General features: G+C 40.2%; 2 long non-coding RNA genes across 2 annotated transcripts in view; both read right to left on the bottom strand.

Annotated features, from left to right (window-relative positions):
* The window catches only part of LOC107986764 (uncharacterized), a 106,009-nt gene extending 97,689 nt beyond the window's left edge, over positions 1–8,320 (bottom strand). The window contains exon 1 of the long non-coding RNA XR_002956539.2: positions 7,880–8,320. This is a non-coding gene — a long non-coding RNA (uncharacterized LOC107986764). The remainder of the gene's footprint in view (positions 1–7,879) is intronic.
* On the bottom strand, positions 1,655–24,570 carry LINC03016 (long intergenic non-protein coding RNA 3016). Its single transcript, NR_108073.1, has 4 exons — positions 24,546–24,570; positions 20,128–20,172; positions 12,282–12,487; positions 1,655–2,139 (listed from the first exon to the last, which is right to left on the bottom strand). It is a non-coding gene; the product is annotated as a long intergenic non-protein coding RNA 3016 (long non-coding RNA).
* Positions 24,571–25,385: the final 815 nt, after the last annotated feature.

Raw genomic sequence — 25,385 nt, 5'->3', positions numbered from 1 at the left:
TAGCCACAACTTGTGGAAAAGTGGGATTGGGACCAAGTAAAACACCAAAGGATCAGATCTTCATTGAAAAAGTGAAAAAGCAACACCCACATGTATCTTTATTTCTATTGGTACATTCATTTATGAATTTTCCATTCACATATTGTCCTGAACACTCCCAACACAAAGTTGACATAGGTAGAGGAGAGAAAGTCACATGGGAGAGAGCCGTCTTACAAATTAAGACATATCTAGTCATTGGGAAGGAAGTCCCTCCTCCACTCCATTCCCACCACCATCCCAAGCCTCACCACGGAGTAACCTAGTATCTCTACTCTCTCTTTAAAAAACAACAACAACAGTAACAACAAAAAGGTTCTCACTATGTTGCCCAGGCTGGTCTTGAACTCCTGGCCTCAAATAATTCTGCTTCAGCCTCTCAAAGTGCTGGGATTACAGGCATGAGCTACCATGCCTGGCGTCTGCCACTTTCTTTACTGTTAATAGGATCCATGAATACTATAGTGAAAAGCACAAGAAAGACACCAAACTGGTTAAAAATAAGAGGCACAAAATTACCTAACTGAATAAAATTCAGTGCTCTATCATAATAGATTCTGTGTGTCTTAAAAATGAAATCATAGATTTCCAAATATTCAAAGGAACTTACAAATTCTATTAAACTTACAGATATGTTTATTGGACTATTTCCCCTTGTTAGACTGAGAGAAATAGGAATCATTTATCTAAATTCTTCACATCACATTGATTAATGAATGCTTTCATTTATCTAACCAGTATCTATCCAGTGAGGCTGTGAGCAAGTCACCATGTTAGGCTCAGGATGGGGGTTGGGGAGAGAATTGCTCAGAAACTTTATAATCTGATGGATGCTAGTGATTTCTTAGGATCTTGATTATGATGTTATCAAAATCGATCTACATTTTTAAAGAATTCCATATCATCTAAGGGACCTCAGGAACCAAAGGCGTGCATACTATGGATCCTCCATATTTTCTAATTCTTTTATTCCTTTGAAAAAAGCTGTCTATAGAGAAAGATCTTATTTATTACTGGTTAATTTCAAAAAGGTTTTGAGGTAGCAGAAAACGGTCTCCAGCTATAAGTTGAAAAAAGGAGAACAGCACAAGTGCAGTAAAAAAAAAAAAAAAAAAAAAAATCCTACATAACCAGACAATGTACCAAGGCTACATCTGTCCCTGGAAAAAACTCAGTATTCCTATAGGAAATCACTCTGCCATTCAAAAGCTTTGCTAAATATAGTCAGGCAGCAGAGCCTAGGCATTAAATCAGTAGGGCTGGTTTGTTGATTATGAATGGACTAAATTCAGGAAGACATAGTGTCCTCTAGGAAGGCCCCATCTACCCCTTGCCTATGTATCACCCTACTTTTTATCTAGGCTTTATCTGTATTGGGGAAAATTGTTCCCAGTTACCACTTCCCTGGTACCTTAGTGGTGCTGAGAAAAGCTCCCTGCATGGAGGAGCAAGGCAACACCCTACCATGTGATGCAGCATCAGTGGAGTGGGGTAGGTGGGGAGAACCACTTTGAGGGCTGTTTTTGGGACTCATCATGGACAAAACAGATCCTTTGTAGGTCAAGGAAAATAAATGTGTTGGGGATGGGAAAAGATAGACACATGAAGAAATATTAGAAGGATTCTCTGCTTTTATTTGAATGCATGTTTTCTTATTGCTTCTACATCCAGAATGAGTTTTTGTAGGCTAGCTGGCTCTTCAGTTCTCCAGTAATGAAAGTGAGATGGAATACTAGCCAGTTCAATTAATCATTGATTTTAATGAATGTTCATTGTGCACCTTTTATGTGCCAGGCTCTTCCAGGAGCTGGGAAACAGCGGTGAACAAGACGAGAAGCTCCTCTTCTGGGGTAGGGTGGGAGGATAAACATTCCAATAGGCAGCATCCTGATCATCTCGATATGCCCTTGACCGATATATTCAATATTTTATTTGTTGGTGTATTCTTGGCCTCCCATCCATATACTCTACTTATATAGGACATGACAATAGGCCACTTATTCTCAACTCCCTGGACACTTAGTCTCAGCCATGTTGTACTTGCTCTTCTTAGTCATCCTCATGGTCTTGCTTTCTGTCTCATTCACTCCTATGCATTGTCTGCAACAGAAGCACAATGAGTAGTTTTTAGGATTTAACCAAGATCTGAGGCCTGAGGTTCTACCCCTGGCCTTTTCATTCTCATAGACTTTCTGGCTCAACCATACCCCTTGCTTTGCCCAAGCCTTGCTATAAGCCCTCAGCTCTTACATGTGCCTCTCCCAGTGTTGACTTGTATATACACTGTCCTGCACCTGCTCTTACAACTGACCAATAGGTGACTTGCAGCACATGTACCAGTGCTGAGAAATGTCAATATCTGTCTTCCTCTTTGCCTGCAAGCCTCAGTAGGAGTGATGCCCATCTACCATGCTCCAAAACATCTCAGCCCTATTGAAATTATTATCATGTGAACAACTACCCTCTTTAAAAACCAGAATAAGTTATTAGAGACTTGGATTTAAATACCTTAGGAATGGTGAAGGTAGAAGACAAAGCCCCTAACCCCTATACATGGGCATGTACTTGCTGGAACAAGCTTGAGATTGTACCTTGAGCTGGAACATTTGTGAAGCACTGCCCTGTCACACCTCTAATTTATTACCACCTGCAGATATTGTTTAGGCATCATATATTACTCTAAGAATCACTACTACTTGCATATAAGGTCATTTTTACCCTAACGTAAAAGTAAATAGTTGACAATGATCGATGAGCAGTCCTGGGTAGTGTTCTCTAAGAGAAAAGACCAGAGTGGCAAAGATTTCCTGCCTAGCAACCCCTCCCTTTTATGAACAGGTACTGTGACTTGTCTTGGATTTCACTTCCTACTCCATTCCTTCTATTCCCCACTCCTAAATGGTAATTTAGGACATTTACCAGTCTGCAAGAGAGTTTGAGGGGGAAACACTGTCCTAAAGGGCTATAAATGAAATCAAAGGCATGGTCTCTGGGGAGTCTCTCTATGTCAAAGAGAGTCAGATCCTCCAGGTACTTAGATCTACTGGGAAGATCGGACAGATTCATGAAGTAGACAAAAAGTCATGTAAAGCCACGTAACAAACAAATGCAAATTGAAACTAAATGCCCAGTATGACTATAAATTCTAGAGAGACTTGAAATAGAGATGTAATACATAGATGACAGTAAAAGAAGGCTTGCTGGAAACAGAATCCTCTCAAGATTGTGGGTATGGTGCCTCTTGGCAATCTGCACCAGCACAGCTGCCAGAAAACAGGAAATCTGGCCAGAGATGCTAAGAAAAAAAATCCAATGTCTGTGACAAGCTGTCAGACAGTCATTAGCATTCCCCTGACCACAGAGGAGCTCAAATTTGAAGGTCTCGCCTGATCAAACACACTTTCTGAGTAATGAAGTATTGAGCCAATCCTTGGAATAAAAAGCCTGTAAGTCTCCTTGGAAATATACTGCCATTTGGAACACGTTCATCTCCTGCTTGTGGGCATATCCCCTCTGGGTCCGTTTGCTTTCTAAATTTCAACTATTAAAATGGAAATAAATGATTTGCTATATCTAAGGTGGGACTAACATCTGATCCATGTTCGGTCTTCCAAACAGGGTACTAAAGGTGTTGGTAGTTCTGATGTAATAAATAGTACTTAAGTTGACCTAATACATTTCTGAATAAGAAACTATTGCAATTGTAAAACAGGTAGTTTAAATAGGATTGATCACTTTTTCCTTTTGATAAATTTACCTACTTGTGTATTATGCGTGTTTTAAATGCATTTGCTTTTTATTCAAAGAACAGAAATACCACTTTTTTCTACTTGTCCAAATTTTAGAAAGCTTATTCTTATTGCACATTAATGAACAAATATATACTGAGATTTCCTAAAGGAAGTCACCGGAAACGGGTCTGAGCTCTATACTTGTTGCACTATCAAAAATAAACACTAAGTTTACCTAAGGTAAGTTGCATTTATGAAACAGCATGACTCCAGGATGAGAACACCTGGGCTGCTGCCCCATTTTTAGATTCTCAGGAGTCAGTAATTAATTCTCCATAACTCATCTTGGGTGTATATCCTTAGGATTTGCTCGGATAACAAGGAGTTTTTTAAGAAACATGCTGAGTGAACAGCATTGTTGGAGGTGTTACTTCCTTATTCAGCTAATAACTTGGCTTCTAAGGGGTAATACCCAAACCCCAAAAGCTATAAGAAGAATTGAATTAGTGGCTATAAGACTATGATTGCTGGGGTGTGTATATCCTTGGACTCAAAGTCCTAGAGGATTATAACATAGCAATTCCTCCCCAAACAGATGTAGGTTCCTGAAAACACCCAGTGAAGTACTATTTGAGGCTGAAGAACTTAAAACCATACACAAAGAAATAGAAAACACTTGGCAGACTCAGGTTATAAGTAAGCTTTAAATCTCTTATATTTTAAGGTTTACTAAAATACAATAACAAAAACAGAACCCCAAATAGAAATTATGTTCGTATTATTTTACATAAATAAGTGATTTATAGTTAATTTCCATTTTTCATTCTTTTGCTGGAAATTTAACTGGAAATCTCTGCATTTCAGTAAGAGGTATCTAGTTTCATTTAAAAAATGTCATGGCTCAAGGCTTTCATCAGAAATCACGTGTCATCCCCCTTTCAGCTCCTCCTGTCCTTAGTCATGCTGTTTTCTTCCTCGTGGCTGCAAGATACCTACTGCATCTGTCAGCATCAGGACCACTCACAAGGCAGGAATTAGGAGAAAGCAGAGGGAAATAGCAACATTCTTTTCTTTCTGAGGCTTTGTCCCCTGCTGTGGAAGGAAAGCCTCTAGAACCCCATTCACCTGCATCTCACTGGTGTCACATCTGCCCCTTAGCCAAAGGGGGGTCTAGGAAGTTAAATATTCTGAACTGATGACATTTCTGCCCTAAACAAATAAGTATTTTATTACAGAAGAAGAGGAAAATTGAATCCTATAGATAACTAGCCATATTTACTGCAAATCTTTTTCTGAATTTTTTACTCTGAGGTTAACACCCATCACCTACTTCCCAGCATCCCAGCTCTTCAGTACTTCTCTTTACTCATATATCCTCGCATGCTTTGGTTCTTAGGCCTTAGGTTACTTTCCATTATCTTCTTTTATCTTTTCAGTATTCCATTACACATATCTCTATTCCTTTCCTTCCAACTTTCTCTGCCTCCTTTTGTCTATGACTAATTTGTTGTTTTTTTCTAAGTACCCCTGATAGGAGCTGCTGTTAATCCAAAATTCTTTTGTTAGCCAAAAACATACCCAGAAATAAATTCATGTATATCCATTAGTCAGATATTTTTATATCTATTAAGTTTTATATCCATAAAATTTGTGTGAGTTTGCTAGGAGTTCCTCCCAAGGGGGTGGCACTCAGATAGGTCTTTGGTTATAGATGGAGGGCCATGAGCTCAGGTGACCCAGGTGACTGGGCCGAAGAGGCAGAGTCCTTGTGGAAAACACAAAGGTCTAAGAGTAGGGTATCTGAGACTGGCAGGAGCCAGGGCAGTATGGAGATTGGAAAAGGGTTGTATGAGGAACTTGTCTTTACAGTATTAGTAAACATGCTGCAGTACTTTGTTGATTTCTTGGTAAAATTGTGAAAAAAATTATATGCATCCAATACTGTTGGATGCACTTGTTGGAAGTAAGAAGGGGTGGGTGGCTGAGATACCAAAGTGAACAGCCAGACTGACCTAGACACAATGAGAAATGGAAGCATCAAGTCAGCAGAGGAGAGCCTCCCAGACATCCTGCACAGCATGGGCAGTGTGGGAGAACTCCAGATGTCTTTTTTCCCAAGAAGCAAGCTCACACACCCCCGTGGACCCCTTGGGACCTGGGGATGAAACTGTGAGACAGACTTTCTTCTTGGGAGAAGCAGACATCTGGTAGTAAAAACTACCTTTGAATCTAGACAATCTAATTGCTCAACTCTAACCAATGCACAGTTTAACAAAATGCTATACATGTAAGGATTTTCCACACTACCTACTTCCTTTAATGAAAATGAATCTGGTGCCCATTGGAATGTGAGAAGGTGTAATAACTGGACAAAAACAAGGACAGTAAGGAGGGAGGAAGGCTGAGATGTCGGGTGCAGGCCCCAACATTTTCGAGCAAGACTGACTGCCAATGAGGAAGGAAAAGGAGCTGCCATTGACAAATGGACGTACAGGACTGCCAGCTGGAAGAACACTGGAGGGAAGGAATGACACTGAGCTCATGTATTGAATGTTGACATGCTGAGCCTTCAAGATCAAATAGCTCATGAGAAAATGCCTGCTTGAAATGATTCTATGTTCAAAATGTGCTCTTACAATTTAGACATAGTTACTACATTTGTTTTATATCAACAGCAGTGATTATACAGTGCCCTAGCTTTTCCAGTTGCTTCTTAACACACATAGTCTATCAAAATCTACAAGACATGGTTTAAAATGAGAGGTAAATGAATGCTTGCATTAGGTTTTGGTTACATTTAGATCAGGGCAGTGGGCTTTGTGTGTTGAGTTGCTGCTATAGGAACGGAAGTTAAGTACCAGATCTTTGGAAAGTTGTGCTGAGTTTGAATTTTGAACTGTGGTCCTAATTGTATGGCAAATTGCATCATTTTTTTCTCAAACTATGTCCACGTAAGCATCATGGACATAATGATGAGAGAAGATACTTTTTAACTAATTATAATTATAGAGTGAAAACACAACTAGAGTTTATTACAACCCTGAATTCATAACACATTAAAGTTATTGCCATATAAAAATAATATATACTCCTTTAGCTTTTGTTCCAAGATATTCAAGAAATAAGGACATTTCCCTTGGAAATAACTATATTCATGTCAACATCAATTTCTAGTTCTTATTTTGATGTGTAAAAGTGAGAAAAATCTAAAATCACATAATCTTCACTGCTCTCTTTGCCATTTGTAGAAAATGCTAGTCAAGTTCTCAGAAATTCCCAAGGCTTTCTTGTTAAAATATATTCATTGAGTTGTAATTAAGTAAAAATAATTTATATAGAAGACAATCATCGATAGAAATGAAATTTTTAAAAAAGCTCCAGTATCCTTGGTTCTTGTTTTTGTTTTTTTCTACATGAAATGTCTAGTGGAAAAAAAATCCATAAAAATGAGTCACTCAATTGTTGCAAAGTATGTTGTCATATCAGTTGCAATGGTCAGTTTTTCATTTTGTTAAAACAGTTTCTCTAAGAAAAGGAAAGTTATTTCAATATGCTTTATCCCCCACTAAAATTTTCTTATAAAAGCAAATAATTTCTCTCTGGTCACACCATGTTCTTATTAGATTAATATTTAGATGACTTAATTGTGTTCATTTTCATGTTTGAATATAGCTACTGCATATGCTAGGTAAAAGATAAACTTTCTATTTTTTAAAATTGTCAACTATGGCATTATTTGGTTGTAAATAGGCAGACTTTTATGGCTTTCAAAAACAAATATAATAGTTACAAATTTAACTTATACTACAATTGAGATATGATTTTTATCTATAAATGTTGCGAACTTCTCTCTGATCTCCAGTAGCGGGGGGAAGAATCTCTAACATTTAGCACTGTCTGGGTGAAATCTTAGTTCCAATTAGTAAGCAATCCCTTCAGATAATAATCAGCTCTTGGAAAAAAGACAGAAAAAGAGCCTTCCACATTTTTTATCTTGAGTATCCCCACTGATTCTTCCCTAAGATGGCTTCTGTGGATCTGGGGGGACAGGTGTGGTTTTTTTATGCATCTTCTGGGTGGTGGACCTAATCCACCTGGTTGGTACTCACCCAGCTGGCACCTGTGGCTGAATTCTGTGGCTGCTGCACAATGTAGAGTGTCCATGAAGTCCCTGCCTGCAGGCTGTGGATTGTCTTCATGCTCCCCTCTATTCTCCACACAAGACTTAGCATTCTTCACATTCTTCCGGACCTCTTCTTCGATGCTGATGGTTGGGAATCATTAACACAGTCCCTGAGAATAAATAGTTGTTTCTTTGCTCTTCATGTGGTTACAGCATGGGCTCATCTGGGATAGGGTAGGGGTGGGAGGACTTTGTGGCCACTCCGTCATCATCATCTCGTCTCTTCTTGACTGATTCAGTCCTGTCCCGGTTCCTCGGGGGCTACAGACACTTCTAATCCTGGGCCTGGTGACCCACTCTGTAATGCTCTCTACAGGGCACCCCACTGCCACTATAACAACCCCCACTGGGCTGCTCCGCACCAGAGACTCAGCAGCTGCAGGATCCTATATAAATACCACAGAGCCACGTGGGGCCACCACAATCTTCTCCTGGCCTACTGTACTGCCAAGTGACACAGCTTCTCTCTGGGTGGTGCAGAACAGCCTATGAGCCTGTCCCCGACCAGTCCCAAGGGAACTAGGACAAAAGCAGCCCTACCCATGCCTAATTCTGCATTCTCTTCAGTCCTCTAAGCTGGGCGGGACAGGGGTGGGGTAAGGTGGGTGGTGCTTGGAACACACATCATCTCTGTACTTGGCTTTCCTAGTTCTTTTCCATTCTGCTTCCTTCTTCCCACCATCCTTTGGGGAAAAAAAGGGTGGGTTGTCTATTTTGTGATGTCGTATCTTCTGCCATGTAGCAGCAGGTCTTGAAGCTTTGCTGTCATAGGGAGTAAAGGTTTCTTCTCTAGCCCACAGGAAAATTCTGTAAGCTAGATCCTCCAGGCTGGGACTATGGTATGTTAAAGAGGAGACAGAGTATTTGGGAAATCTCTCAAGGAAATAACCTGACTTGAAAGTCTTTTTTTTTTCCTGCATAATCTTATTTTTTTAGTGCCAGAATTGGAAAAATATAATATTTTTGCATTCTTTCTTTCTTCAATTACATGGGCACCCAAGACAACTAAGGGAAGGCTACCCTCTCAGAAGGATGAAAGAGAGAAGTGCTTCACTTAATTTTCATCACTTTATCTAGTTGCAAAATAAACATGTTGCTGTGGGAAGCCACCTCATTTCTATATGGAAATGGATGTGTCAGCTTACCAATTCCTTTAAAAAAAATCATGGAAGAGGCAAAGTTTTGGATCTTTTTCTTGGTGGAGTTTTTGTTACCATATAAAGAAGACAGAACATTATTTGTTTTTGCAGGCAAACTTCTTGCAGCAAGTGCACAATAGTGCATTATACAAATAGCTACTCATTTTTCTTTATTTTGTATTCTAGGCAGCAAAGCTTGATGTTTTACCAAGCATAGCAGGAGGTACCATCAGTAAGAACTGATCCACACACATGAAGTGTTAGCTAATGGTTCAAAAAGAAATCTTGGATGAGATTGAACACATTGATTCCTTTCATAGTTAACTGAAGCAGTTCACAAGAGAAGAATTCATCTACACTCTCTTCCTTAGATACTGCAAAAATAACAACAGCTGACTACAGCCATTATTATCACTTGGCTCATCAAGCTGAATACCTAAAGGGGAATAGGTTTTGCATTCTCTATAACTTGCTTCTAGATATCCTGGTTTCTCACTTAAATTTTAAAACAGATCTCATAATTAAATAACATGCTGAGGCTTGTTTGATACATCTCCTTTCAATGCAGTTAAAGAAAAAATTTCAGTGCCACCAGATTCACCCATCACAGGGGCTACTTTTCCTAGGCATATGAATTTTCCACTTGATCAGATGTTGGTATCCAGGGTTTTTCAAGTCACGCAAAGTCACATGTCCGCAATGCTCGGCTGTGATCAAATCCCTCCCTTGTATGTTCATGATAATAAGTATATCTTCTCACATTAAAAAATATTTAATGGGCCGGGTGAGGTGGCTCATGCCTGTAATCCCAGCACTTTGGGAGGCCAAGGCAGGTGGATCACGAGGCCAGGAGTTCGAGACCAGCCTGACCAACATGGTGAAACCGCATCTCTACTAAAAATAGAAAAATTAGCTGGGTGTGGTGGTATGTGCCTGTAATCCCAGCTACTCAGGAGGCTGAGGCAGTAGAATCGCTTGCACCCGGGAGGCAGAGGTTGCAGTGAGCAAAGATCGCGCCACTGTACTCCAGCCTGGGTGACAGAGCGAGACTCCGTCTGAAAAAAAAAAAAAAAAAAAAAAAAAAAAAAAATTTAATATCAGAGTTTCAATGTTTGAAGTAACAAGGTACACAGTTCATTCACACGGCAGTCAGCGCGTTCCATCCCTACTTGCCAATGTAAGAGTGAAGCTGGAAACACCACAGGAGTTACTGGGGAATAAGAGGCTGTCAGTCCCCACAGTGTAAGGAGCCTTCTGGGATCTTGCAGTTGCCATTGGTTGAACACCCCCTCATATGTTCAAAGCCTTGTGCTGCAGGCTATGGACAGCCCTGCGTGAAGCACACAGCTGGGTTTCCCCATCAAGGAGCAAAGAAGCCCCCAGTTCTCTGAGACTCACCATCTATATAGTGTGAGGAATAAACAAAACTTGTGGTTGGGAAATAGAATAATGTTATATTTTCCCATAAATTCTTCCAAAAGTGAATTGCCACTTGCAACTCAGCAGGAAAAATGTCAGTATTAGTGTTGGGCAAGGGACTAATCCAGATTCAATAAAAAGTCTTCATTATAAGACATTTCCTCTCAGGTGAATAACTAGTCCTTTTCATGTTGGAACAGTTACAGAAACTGAATTTTTTTAGTTTATAAAAATTTTGCCTTAAGGTAAGCAACACCTGTTTAGTGAATCTTGAAAAAATAGTCTTTTATTTATTTATATATTTAATGAAATGCCAATTCTTTTTGCAAAGCAAACTGGGATATGAAGATAAAAGGGTAAAAAAAAAAGTTCTTTGATGCATTGTCATAGTGAATGCATATTGAATCTCTCTATATTAGTGACTGTGCAGTATATAATATGCAATATCAGTTACACATCTCCATCTGAAGGAAATTAAATCCTAATTATACAAGAGGAACCCACAAAGTTCACTTTTTCCTTTTAAATGGCAGAATGTTGTTCACTGAGAGGAAATAGTTACTTCTCTGTTCCATGTAATTTTCATAGAACAGATGTGTCTGAGGCTGGTTTTTAAAGAGTGTAGCAGGCATTGTTGGGAATAAATCTGGGGAAAAGTGCACAGGACTAAATTTGGAGAGAGCTGCTTAGCCCTGTGACCTTTACAAAACTATGTCACTGTTCTGTGTTTTGTCTGAGAAAATGAGCTAGCGATAATATCCCAGGTGCCTCACAAGACACACATTCCTAAAGGTAAGGGGTCTTCTGGGTCTTCTGGGATCTTGTAGTTGACATTGGTTGAATACTACCTATGTTCAAAGCATTGTGCTGCAGGCTATGGGTAAGCCAATGAACAAAAGGGACCCAGCTACTGTCCTTAGGGAGCCCACACACAACTTTCTATGCATGGAATCACTTCCAAAATGAGAACTATCAGAGATGACTCAGGGTTATGGTAAAGGTAAAAGACACACTAAATGGAAAATCTGGAAGCTTCTTTAGACAAACAGATTGTGTCTCTATATATATCTAGATTATTAAAGTGTGCTCTGATACAGAGTTAACATATTTCTGAAAAGTTGTGTAAACTGATTGTGGTGAGCATTTTCAGAAACCCCCGAGCTCCCATCCCATCCTTTGTCCTTTGGAATTAATGTGAAAAATGAGCACTATCTTGGCTTTCCTTTCTCTTCTCCCATTTCTCCCCATATACCTATTATTTCTGATTTATTTGTATAATAAATACGGGCTTTAAAGATTGGGTTTTTTTTTTTTTCTTAACAAAAAGCTTGTAGACATGTTTTCTTCAAGTTATTTTCTTAGTTATTATTTTCTGCTATGTCTAATACCAATATTGCCGCAGGGAGTGTGTAAAAAGGGAGGAATGCAGATGTTTTTCTATTTGTTTTTACTATCATAGAGTGGAAAAAACATGGACCAGTTAGAAGCAGCTTCATCACTATCTGTGTAGGTGACCCTAGAATGTGGGTGACTTAGACTTCAGTGCACAAAGAATTGGATGGTTGTTAATGCAAATAACCCAGTCCTCAACACCAGAAATTCTTTCTTGCGTTTAAAAGTAGTCCTGTACACAGTTAGAAATGCTTTCAGCTACAAGTAGTAAAACAGTAAATAATAATATTTCACATAATAAATCTCTTAATAATGGTTCTAGGGTTGATGCACCTCAACAATGTCATCAGTGTCCCTGGTTCTTTCTTTTTGTCCTACCTTCTCAACATGTTAGCATTTCATCCAGTCATCTCAACTTATGGCCACAGATAACTGCTGCTCCCGGTGACACAGTCTCTCACATGCTCAAGGAATGGCACCAGACAGCTCTCCTGTGTACTTTTATCTTTTTTCAGAAGCAAAAGCTTTCCCAAGAACTCCCCACTCCTGGTGGAGTCTCCTTATATGTTTCTGGCTGATTCTAGCTGCAGAGAGATGGGAAATGTATTAGGGTTCTCCAGAGAAACCAGTAGGATGGAGATATATATAAAGAAAATAAGATTTAATATGATAAATTAGTCATGCAGTTATGAAGGCTAAGAAGTAAGTCCCACAATCTGCCATCTGCAAGCTGGAGACCCAAGAAAGCAGGTGGTGGTGTTATAAGAAAGGGGTCCTGATCCAGACCCCAAGAGAGTGTTCTTGGATCTCCCACAAGAAAGAATTTGGGGCAAGTCCATAGAGTAAAGTGAAAGCAAGTAAGTTATTAAGAAAGTAAAGAAATAAAGAATGGCTACTCCATAAGCAGAGCAGCAGCATGGGCTGCTCTGCTGCTTATACTTATTGTGGCTTCTTGATTATATGCTAAACAAGGGATGGATTATTCATGAGTTTTCTGGGAAAGGGGTGGGCAATTCCCAGAACTGACGGTTTCTCCCCTTTTTAGACCATATAGGGTGAATTCCTGACATTGCCATGGCATCTATAAACTGTCACGTCCCTGGTAGGAGTGTCTTTAGCATGCTAATGCATTATAATTGGCATATAATGAGCAGTGAGGACGACCAGAGGTCACTCTTGTCGTCATCTTGGTTCTGGTCGGTTTTGCCCAGTTTCTTTACTGTGACCTATTTTATCAGCAAGATCTTTATGACCTGTATCTTGTGCTGACCTCTTATCTTATCCTGTGACTTAGAACACCTAACCTCCTGGGAATGCGGCCCAGCAGGTCTCAGCCTTATTTTACCTAGCCCCTATGCAAGATGGAGTCACTCTGGTTCAAATGCCTCTGACAGTGTAATTCAGTCCAAGTCCAAAGGCCTGAGAACCAGAGGAGTTGATGGTGTAAATCCCAGTCTAAGGACTAGAGATGATGAGATGACCCAGGTCAAGGGGTGAGGCAGGAAAAAGAGGGCAAATTCCTCCTTCCTCCACCTTTTGTTCTATTGAGACCCTCAGTAGATTAGATGATGCCTACCCATGTCGGGGAGGGCAACCTACTAAGTCTGTTGATTCAAATGCTAATGTTATTTGGGAACACTCTCACAGAGACGCTTGGAAATAATATTTAATCTGGGAACCCCATGGCCAGTCAAGTTGCTCCACGAAATTAACCTTCACAGGATGGTATTGGGAAAGAGAAATGTGATAACATGACTAGAGCTGAAAATTGAGAACCCCCTCTGGCCAGGCACGTAGCCATCTGAGCACACCTGAGGTCCTGCTGTAAGTGAAGTAGCAGAGGATGGCTGTTAGGGACACAACATCAGCGGTTACCACCACCCTGAGGGCAACTGATGCTGGTGTCCATTAACCACACTTTATACCACTGGTTGCCAAACATCTGGGTTAAATCAGAATCATCCAAGAGCTTTAATAAGTGCAAGAGGTCTGGGCCTCCCTGATTCAGTGGGTCAGGGTTGAGGCCTCAGCATCCTGACTCTCTAAAAGCTCATTAGCTTAAAAACAAAACAAAGCAAAATAAACAAAACTCAGGTGATGCGGTGATTCTGGTGCACAGCTGGGATTGAGAACTTACTGGTCCAATCATTTAATTTCTCCGAACAGCAGTTAGAAGCCCATGGAGATAACACTGGGATAATAATAGTGTTCGTCCCAGAGGGTAGGTGTGAGGTATAAATGGTTTGGTATACATAAAGTTGAAGCTCAAGCCGGCACATAATAGTTTTGGATCTCAGTCCGCCTTCCCCTTATGCCAGATGCCAGATGGTTTTAGAGGCAGATTCCAGTTTCTTCCAAAGAAAGTGTTTTTTCAAAAATAGTGACAAGTAGACTTGTTTGTCTTGGCTACTGTACTAGTTCCCTATTGCTGCAGCAACAAATTACCACAAACTTAGCAGCTTAAAATGACACCAGTTCATCATCTCACGCTTTTGTAGGTTACAACTCCAGGCAGGCTAGGTTGGGTTCTATACTCAAGAGTCTCACAGGCCAAAGTCAAAGTGTTGTCAGGGCTTTTCCCTGGAGGCTTGGGTAAGAATCCACTTCCAAGCTCATTGAGAATATTGGCAGAATTCCACCCTTGTGGTTTTAAGACTGAAGTCCCTGCTTTCTTGCTGGATGTCAGCTGGGGTCCTCTCTGCTCCTAGAGGCCATCCACATTCCTTCTCATATGGTCCCCTCGATGTTCAAAGCAGCAACTCTTTAACTTCCTCTTCTGCCCCTCTTTGGAAAAGCTAATTTTACAGGCTTATGCGATTACACTAGGCCCGTGCAGGCAATCTCCTTATTTTAAGGTTAATTGTACCTTATAACATAATCATAGAAGTGATATCTCAATCTTCACAGGTTCTGAGGATTAGGATGGGACGTCCCTCAGGGCATTTTCAGAAATTCTGCCTACCATAGCTGTCTGTCCACTTTGCTGTTCAGCAACCCTTTCCCCAGAGGCTCTCATCCAGCCTTCAATCTTATCAGCTGGTATTTAGCAATCTCCAGGTGAAGTGTTAGCATCTATCATGTCTTTCACTGCAGCTCCATGTAGGTATAATCATTTCCTATGTTGGGCGAAAACCAAGGCAGGAATGACGGCAATTTCACTTGCTGCATTTGTGGGTCCCATGGACATAGAGGAATAGTAGGCTGGCCTGACCTCGAGAGGTTCGGGGCCTCAGGTATTCAAGCCTAGGATTTCAGTTAAACACAAAATGACAAACAGCAATAGGAGACAGGTGAAGGACACTGACAGGTGAGCACTTCTGGAGTTCAGAAGCTGTCACGAATAAAGATGATTTCAGAGCAGATGGGCCTGGGAAATCTTTCCACGGCCACTCCAGTCATACTGCACTGGCAGCCACCCACTTCCCTCCTTCCTAAGCTCAATTCTACTTTTCACAGAAGCCCAAATTGGTTCTGGCAGATCTGAAATTACTGTTTTGGAGCAAGGCATACCTTGTAGTTGTCCAGATAATTTTTTGGGAGTTCTCAGGCCAATACTATTTTAGTCTGCTTTTCAATCTTCAAATTGGAATATTTTTTAAATATTGAAAATCAGGCCAGGCACACTGGCTTATGCCTGTAAGCCCAGCATTTTGGAAGCCTGAGGCAGGAGGATTGTTTGAGCTCAGGAGTTTGAGACTAGTCTGGGCAACATAGGAGACCTCGTCTCTACAAAAAATTTTAAAAAATGCTGGGCATGGTGGCACATGCTTGTGGTCCCAGCTGCTCAGAAGGCTGAGGTGGGAGAATCTCTTGAGCCCAGGAGTTTGAGACTGCAGTGAGCCATGACTACACCACTGCACTGCAGCCTGGGTGACACAGTGAGACCATGTCTCAAAATAGAAACAAACAAACAAACAAATGACCAAAAATCAAAGCACAAAGAAATCTGCTGGAAATGGGAGGGTCTGGGATAATCTTGAAAAACCTAAATGAAAAAAATTACAGGTTTGAAGACAGAAACTGTAGATGAGCTTCATGACCACTTTTTTTTACTGTCATTCTATACGGAACACTGTGGTATGTGGGCCAGTCCCCACTTCAAGTTTGAGGCACCCATTCTTCAGCTGCTGGGAGTGCTGGCAGCTGATGACCCTCAGCTGAGTTCTTCTCAGGGAATTAAGAGGAGCTGAAGAGAGCTGTCTTGTCCAAGGTCATGGCTCCTCCCTGGGCGGTCCTTATCCAATGACTCGTAAATATTAGGGTAGCAAGGACAGACTCCAGTAGAACAAGACCAAAGGGCTATCCTGGCTGCACAGTTTCCCTGAGGAATTGGCTTAGGCCTTTGCTAGGACTGCTTCATGGTCCAACTTCTCCCTCCACCCAATTCTGCTCCCTCCATTTCCCCATAGGCGTCAATCTCAAAGGCACTATTGGGTATCCAATTTTTTGGCTTCCCTGGGCCACACTGGAAGAAGAACTGTCTTGGGCCACACACAAAATACACTAACACTAACAATAGATGATGAGCTTTAAAAAAAATTTTTTTTAAAGAAAGTTTACAAATTTGTGTTGGGCCACATTCAAAGCCGTCCTGGGCCACATGCAGCCCACAGGCTGTGGGTTGGACACACTTGGGTCCTACGACCTTCCTGTATGCTCATCTGTGGCTAGCAATAGAGTTGAGCAAGTCTCATCAACCTTGCTAGAGGCCTTCAACACATGTGCCTGTGTGTATGTGTCCATGTGCACATGTGTCTGTTTTCATGTTAAATTGACAATAAATGGGCAAACGATCTAACAGTTTAAAATATGATTGGAAAGGAAATTTTTTAGATTTTAGAATCCCATCACAAGCTTCAATTTTTCTTTTTAAAGTGTCAATTTCATCCCCACAAAAAAGTTACAAAAGTGAACAATTGAAAGATGAAAATTTCAGAGAGGCTTAAGTGTGTGAAATTCCTTTCGTTCAATGATGCACTAGAGATATCTGCATTTGAGCACAGTCATGATGAGGGGTAGATTGTCAGCCATAGTTAGCTATCCAGGATATGGCATTTACAAAATAATGGCATTATGTCAAAGTTCAAATGAATACCATGTTCAAATGAATACCATTTAAGAATGCCCCACTATCTTTGGAAAAATGGCTCAAGGAAATCATTTCCCACAAATCCATCTTACTTCTTCTGAGGAGCAGTTGGTTGAGGTAGTGGGGAATGTGGCCTGAAGAGGTAGCTCTGATGAAGTGCTACTCCTTAGGTTGTAACTGGGCCCCTCTGTAGAGCAGCATGTGCCCTGACTCACTGACCTCCAGTGGGGATATTTTAACGTGTTAATTTCACTGAAACAGACATGCTGATGCTAAGCTAGTATTAGAAAACTTCCCAAGAGAAAAATAGATAGTATGTAAGAATAGGTCAAGGTGGAATTAGTCTGGATATTAAGACATGTGAGATTCACATATGTAAGTATCCACTTGTTTCATGTCCCAAGATACCCAATTCTATAAATATTTTCTAGGTCTTCTGCTGTCTTTGGTTTTCATGGAAATTGGGATAGTTTGAAAAGAGCACTCCTTAATTCAACCTTAAACAGTTTAGGGCATCAGGTGCTCTTGAATGTGGTGGGAAACTAACAAAGCCAGTTGTGTATGAGAGGTTGAGTGGAAGGTTCTGGTTTCCTGTGATATTACATCTTGGGTAAAATGTATCTTGGGGACCAGGCCACCTTTGTAAAATCAACAGATTGGCCATAAGATTAAAAATTATGACTCAGGAGTCATGCACCCAGAGGTTACAAGATTACTAACCTCCCCAATTGCTCCTATAGATAACATTACTACTATAAAACCTAAGATTGGTGCTTGAGATATCTTTTAGACCCTGCATTCTGATGGATCAGCTGGCACCACCCAGAATGGTAAACCAACTCATCTGGTCTTGTGGCCCCTACCCAGGAACTAACTCATGCCTGCCAAAGTGTCTTTAAAAAATCCTAGCCTCCAAATTTTTGGGGAGGCTGATTTAAATAATAGTAAAATTCTGGTCTCCTATTTAGCTGGCTCTATGCATATTAAAATCTCTCTCTATTGCACTTCCCTGTCTTTACAAATTGGCTGTATCTGGGCAGCAGGCAAGATGAACTGGTTACAATCTCATTTGATTCTTTAAGGATAATACTTTGCTAAACTCTGAGACTTCTTTACCTCACTACGATGTTGGTCAGCAGAAGGTCAGTGGGGTTCTTAGATTTTCATTTGTATATACACCATTGCCACCATGTGGGGCAGCATAGATTTTATGGCTTCCATAAGGTGTAACAGATTCATTCATCCTATTCAAAAGGTGACTGACATATTCTTGCCAAAGACAGAATTCAACCAAAAATAACTAGAAAATGTAACTGAATACCAAAAAAATAACAGACAATAGACCTAGACCAATAGGGGATCTTGATAATGTGACTATCCAACATGGATTCTATAATGATTTGCTTAAAATGTTTAAGGAAATAAAAATTAAGATTGAGGACATTGGCAGAGACCTGGAAATATAAAAAATAACCAAATGGAAATTCTAGAATTGAAAAACTTGATAAATGAAATCAAGAACTCAACAGATGGGCTTAACAGAGAACAAATACTACCAATAAAACTTCTTTATTTTTTTTGAGACAAGAGTCTCGCTCTGTTGCCCAGGCTGCGGTGCAGTGGCACGATCTTGGCTCACTGCGATCTCCACCTCCCAGGCTCAACTGATTCTCATGCCTCAGCCACTCAAGTAGCTGGGATTATAGCTGTGTGCCAACACGCCTGGCTAATTTTTGTATTTCTAGTAGAAATGAGGTTTCATCATATTGCCCAGGCTGGTCTCAAACCCCTGGGCTCAAGGGATCCACCCGCCTCGGCTTCCCAAAGTGCTGGGATTACAGGCGTGAGCCACTGCACTTGGCTGCCACAAAACTTTTCATTACAGAAGTTACTGAGTGACCTCCCCCAAACTCTACAAATTCCCACAAGAAGCTTAGCCTCCAAAAGGCGAGCTCGTTTGCCCTGGACAGTTCATGGCTTTATCTTTGGTGAATGGGCATTTGTTGTCTTTGAGTTATGTTCTTTACTTCCAAGTCCTTATCCTTAATTGGTCATTTTGGATCGACATGTCTGAAAAGTATTATCAGCCCTCTGTAATAGTTAAGTTGGAGAAGCCATCTCTATACACTGAGTTCCTGCGGGCAGGATTGTATCTTTTCCTCTCTGCGATCCCAGGACCAGCAAAATACCTGGGGGCAAATCAGTCATTCCTATGAATGTAATAGGACTTGAAGAGTAGAAGGAAAGTGAGGGAAGGGTTAATGACAGACTTCAAAAAAACCAAACCCTAGGTCAGGGCCTGGACTAAGCAACACTTCAAAGTTGCTTCTCCTCTCAAAGCAGTTTCTTCTGTCTGTGCTTCCCCTAGTTCCTCACCACACCCTCAGTCTGGCTAGTCCTCCCTTCACAATGACAGGTCAGAGATCCTTACTGAAAGATACGGTGTTTATTCTCTGTGAGAGTAATATGTTATAGTAAGCGGGAGATTTCACTCAACACCTGATTGGTGATGATGGAGAAGGGGGCCGGTCTTTTTCCACTTCTCTAATGGTAATATTTTCTCCCAACTTGCTTGCATGTTTACAGCAAGCTTCAGTGTATAGCTAAATTTTACCCAGTGGAAATTATGGGGATCGCAATATGCAATTTAAGTAAGTAACTCTTTAGTTACTTTGACCCAACTAAAATACTAAAGCAGAAAAAAAAAGGGGTGAACCAAGTTGCAGGCCTCTTCCTGCAAGCAATGTAGTGAGGTAGAAAATGGGATCAATGTACTTGTGTTCCCTCAAGATACATCTCCCTTCTCCATCCAAACTGTTGAACTAAATGAAGAGTGAGGTCCTTGAGGAATGAGCTTTTCCCCGTTTTGTTAATGGGGGAGGCTAATATTCCTGAAAGATAGCTCTAAAATGTTGTCAGAACAGTCAAGAGTTAACAGCAATTGTCCATGGCTCCAGAAGCCTGATTGTTACTTGTCAAATTGCTTCCGGTGTTCTTTCCCACATGAAAGAGGGGGGTGACTGACTGGCTATTAGGGCAATAGGGGATTTGATGTCTGTTTGACCACACCCCAGCCTCCTGGGTGTGATTTTGATTTATATTAAAGCTGACAAAATGAATCAAATGTTTGCTGACCTTGTGTATATAGAATAGCTTGGGTTGGATCTTGAGAGAAATTACCTGTTGGAGAGGGGAAAGAGAAAGTTACCATCAACACTCCTGATTTTATTTTATTTATTTTTTTTTTTGAGACGGAGTCTCGCTCTGTCGCCCAGGTTGGAGCACAGTCGCGCGATCTCGGCTCACTGCAAGCTCCGCCTCCCAGGTTCGCAGCATTCTCCTCCTTCAGCCTCCTGAGTAGCTGGGACTACAGGCGCCCGCCACCGCGCCCGGCTAATTTTTTTTTTTTTTTTTTGTATTCTTAGTAGAGACGGGGTTTCACCGTGTTAGCCAGGATGGTCGTGATATCCTGACCTCGTGAGCCGCCCACCTCGGCCTCCCAAAGTGCTGGGATTACACGCGTGAGCCACCACGCCGGGCCAAACACTCCTGATTTTAATACATCATGCCATAGGATGAAGTTAATTTTTAGCTCCGTTGAGAGGAAACAACTACCATCCTGCCGCATAGTAGAGAGTCTGGAGAAAAACAGTGTCAGCTGAAACCTCTACTTTCTTTAATTTCATTAAAAAATTGATCTCATTGATGCCATCAACTGTGCTTCTGGGTAAAGTCGCTGGTTCACATTTTCAGTTTCAATTTCCCTTGCTTCTCTTGCTTCAGTTTCAGTAGCAACAGGAAGTTTGGGTAATTCTATATCATTTAAATGTGAAGAGGAAGAAAGAAAACCCTTTATAAACACATCCTGATGAGTGAGTGTCAGAAAATTCTATGCAGAGACGTGGAGTAATCAAAGAGCAAATTCAGAAAATATTCTCTAAGTTTAGGATTTGTAGACTACTGAATTATAAATTTATACTGATTAATACATAGCAAAGGTTACATTAATATATTAAATCATGAATTTATATTATCTTGAGGTGATTGACCCTATGAGGTCACTTATAAATTGATTTTATGAGCACATAACACTTTATCTCTTTCCACCCTCTAAGTCTGTATATTATTAAAATACAGAAGACTAGACTTGATGTGTTTCAAAACTTCAGGCGCAGGTTAAGTTCCACCACTCAGTTCTGCTTCACTTGTTCTCACTCTGAGTCACTCAACCTCTGAACACGTTTTTCATTTGGTCAACTTATTTGAGCATTTGTCCAAGTAGCCTGAGTGGGTCTAAGTATAAGACATGAAATAAAGAGCTTGACATGGCAGAGACTGTCAGACTTTCAGAGAGAAAAAACAGTTTACTTAAGAATCTCAGAAATAGCTGGTCATGTCTAAGTTAGGGTCCCTAAGAAAATACAGGTGATTTCACTTTGTATTTCCCCCATTCCTTTCCCCCTTCCATTTCCGAAATTTGGTATTTTGAAAAGGATGAAGATCGATTTGGAAGTAGCTTACTTTAAAAAGGAACATAGTAACAGGAAATTGTAAAGTAACATTCTGTTAGGTTTCAAGGCTGATTTGTGTTAACAAGCTGACCACAGCCCTAAGACATGCTTGAAACCCTTAGTGCAGGGAGACAAAATAGGAACAGGGCTGAGCCTGATGCGGCCTCATTTGGGTTTGGTTGTTGCTGCCCCACTTGTAAAAACAATACAGACTGCGAAATAGACAGTCGTCCCTCAGTATCCTTGGGGTACTGGTTCCAGGACCCCCTCTGATACCAAAACCCATGGATGTTTAAATCTCTTATATAAAATGGTATAGTATTTGCATATAACCTATGCTTATCCTCTTGCATACTTTAAATCATCTCTATAATACCTAATACGAATGCTATGGAAATAACAGTTATACTGTATTGTTTATATTTTTGTCATATTATTTTTTATTGAATATTTTTGATCCACGATTGGCTGAATTCATGGATGTGGAACCCACAGATATGAAGGGCCTGATTGTACTAACTGATACCAGATCATTAGGCAATTCTCTTACTGGGGCTGCAGATCCAAAATCCAGACCACGTTTCTCTGAGTAAAGGTGTAATTTCCTCTGAAAAGACTAAATGTTTTCACTGCCAGTTTCCCAGGGGAGAGGTTGGTTCAGCAGGAATTTTGGGAGGAGGGTGTCCAGAGTGTTAGGTGAGTGGAAACCTTCCTCATTTCTTTTAGTGCAGATGTCAATTTGGCTCCAATTCTAAAGAAGTGCTGATAACTGAAGGTTTCTAGTGGGGTAGCTGAACTACCTTTGGTGACCTGGAAACAGGTAGCAAAGAGGGCAGAGCAGTAGCCTGGTAAGGGTGGAGAGGATTCCACTGGAGCTTGGCCGCTCTCATAAAGTACTATCTGGACCCTTTCTTTCATTATTCTGGAACGGTCAGGAAAGTCTGGTCTCTACTGTGGGCAACAAAGAGGAAAATAAGTCTTTTCCCCAGGGTCAAACAAGATGACAGAAGTCACCAGCAGAAGATGGTAGTGCCCACTGAAGCAGCAAGTTAACTGGAGTCACTGTCCCTAGGAGGCAGCCCAGGAATGGGCAAGAGGGCAACCCATTTCTGGGTACACATTACACTGTACCCTGGGAACCGCTGAGGATCACGAGGGGCATATTTTAAGGGTGGCTATTTCTGCCAGTAATGCTGGAAAGCATTCATGGCATAATGCCATGATATGTAGCAGAATCCACCACAGTGTCTGTACGAAATGTTTAAGTAGGTAATTCATTCTGTCAGTTATTAAGTGTTATGAATCTGAAATCATTAAAACAATGTACTGCACAAGAAATAGGCAGATAAGCAGACCAGAATACAGTTTATACACAAACCGATAATGAAATATCATGGGGTAATGGTGATTTAAAATAAATGTTGAAAGAAAGGATCGTCAAATAAAGTGTATTACAACAAACGGGTAGCCATTTTCCTACCTCACTCCATATAAGAAAATAAATTCTGGAGGGATCAAAAATATAAACACAAAAAATGAAACTATGAAAGTAAGAGGAAAACATAAGCATATTATAAATAAACCTTGGTGTGAGCAAGACACACAATTCAATAGCCCTAAGAAAAGATTAATTGGTTTGTGTGGGGAAAAAACAAGTACGAAATAATCATAACAGTTCTAATACATATAAATAAACCAATATTCAGAGAGTTTATAAAAATTTTTAAAAACCCTAGTAATTCAATATTAAAAACTGGCGAAGATGAAATGCAAATTACCAATGTATAAAAAAAACTCAAACCTTAAGTACAAATCAACAATTATCAGATATTAATGCAGTGATAAAACTAGTAAGTTCAATAATCAAAAACTTTGGTAAAAGGGGCAGGAAAATATACTCGCAAATGTTGAGTAGTAGTATAAGGTAGTACAGTACAGTTTAAGAAGGCAATTTGGCAGTATCTATGAATATTTAAATGCATACATTCTTTATCTCAGCAATTACTTGCTAGGAACTTATCCTATGGCTGTACCCACACAATCATTTCAAGGATGTTCAGTGCAGCAATAATTATAATAAAAGTATCCAACTCAATTATCAATAGAGGAATGGCTTAAAAATTGTGGCACATCCATACAGAGATCTAGTTAACTATTAAAAAGAATTATCTCTAAGTTATTAAACAGTAAGCAGAAAAGGCAAGGAGCAGAATGATGTGTTTAGTTTGGAAATGAGTACAGTTCTGTTATTTTCTGTTTATGGCTGGACAAAGGGACTGCTGGGTGGGGCTGTAGCAGATTATAGCTTTTCATTTTATATTCATTCTCTTTTACCAAGCACATACATTACCTTTGTATAAAAACTTAAAAATATTTTTAACAGGAAAGACATTATCCTCAAACCATGCAGTAATGCCCAACTTGAATATATTTATTCAAGATCTAAGGAAGGAAATTTCAGGGGTACTGGAGTTATTGAAAAATAAACCTAAAAACATGCCAATGAAAGAAAATGGCTGTGGGTCTCAGAAAAAAATGGTACACTGACTGCACCTGGGAAAAAACTGGAACTCTCGAAGAATTGAAGTTAACTGGGCTTTGGCAAATTTGTGAATATATCGACTCTTTCACATGAAGTTGTACCTGAGCCTTATTCTTTAAATCCAGTTCAAATGCCACAATTTCTTTGAAACTTCTCAGATCCCTAAACACTTAATATACAGTCCTCTTATAGTTCTTTGTAAATACCTCTATCATAGTCCTGAGGAGGCTATTTGTTCACTGGCATGTCAGCCCCCAACCCAAATGTGAGATCCTTCAGGCAAGCCTTAACCACAGGTTTCGCCCTCCTTTCTCTTCTATAGCTGACAAACCATGAGCCTGGTGAAAGTTTGTTGAATGGGTGATTTAATGACTGGAGGAAAAAAAAGAGCTGTTGCTTTTTTTGGATTTTAGGATAGAAAACTTGTAACTTGACATGTAAATTAATTATTAACTAACTCGACACAGTTTTCTCCTTACCAGTGTTAGGCACGACCCTACCTTTGTTTTGTCATCAGAGATCACTTGTTGCTTCAGTAACCAAGAGCACTGAGCTACACCAAGTGACAGTGCTTTGGAATGTCTAATGGTCACTGTAGAGAAAAGGAACCTGAGCTCTCCTCCCTAATAGCAAATACACACAATCTTCTGCCCACACTTGAGGTTTTGTTCTTTTTCTGGACTGTATTCTCCAACGTAAATGCGAGGTTTTTTGCCTGATGGTGTATGATACGTGGAGTTCAAATCAAGATTTTCTCAAGCAGAAAACCTGTTTAGGAGTCCCTCCATATCTATGAGAAAAGCATTTTGTTTAGAGGTCTCCATAAAAATGAAACAGAAGAAAGTAGGGGGCATATGGAGAACTTTTCTTCATAGTGAAAGGATGCTCACCATTTACTTCCTTTTAATTGATATATAATGTACATATTTATGGGGGAGAGAGTAATATTTTGATACATACAATGTATAGTAATCGTATAGTAACCTTTTTAAACTTTTTTGTTGTGGAGATGGAGTCTTGTTGCCCAGGGTGGACTTGAACTCCTGAGCTTCAGCCTTCTGGGTAGCTAGGACAACAGGCATGCAGCACTACACATGGCTTTGTTATTTAAAAAAAAAAATCCTATTATGTCCCAGGCACAATTGGAAACAAGACAGATTTGATCTCTGATAACAGTGCCTGGCAACTATTAGGATCGTTCCTAGAATCTATTTGCAAATGGTGGGAAAAGGCAGGGACCAAATATGTGAGTTCTATCTAGCAGTACAATGGGTCAAAGAAAAACAGAAAGAATGAATAAGATCTAGTATTTGATAGCACAATAGGGTGACTATAGTCAA

Source organism: Homo sapiens, chromosome 7 (assembly GCF_000001405.40).
Source record: "Homo sapiens chromosome 7, GRCh38.p14 Primary Assembly".
Taxonomy (NCBI): Eukaryota; Metazoa; Chordata; class Mammalia; order Primates; family Hominidae; genus Homo; species Homo sapiens.
Note: the sequence above shows the minus strand (reverse complement) of the source record. Positions and strands in the feature narration are given on the sequence as shown.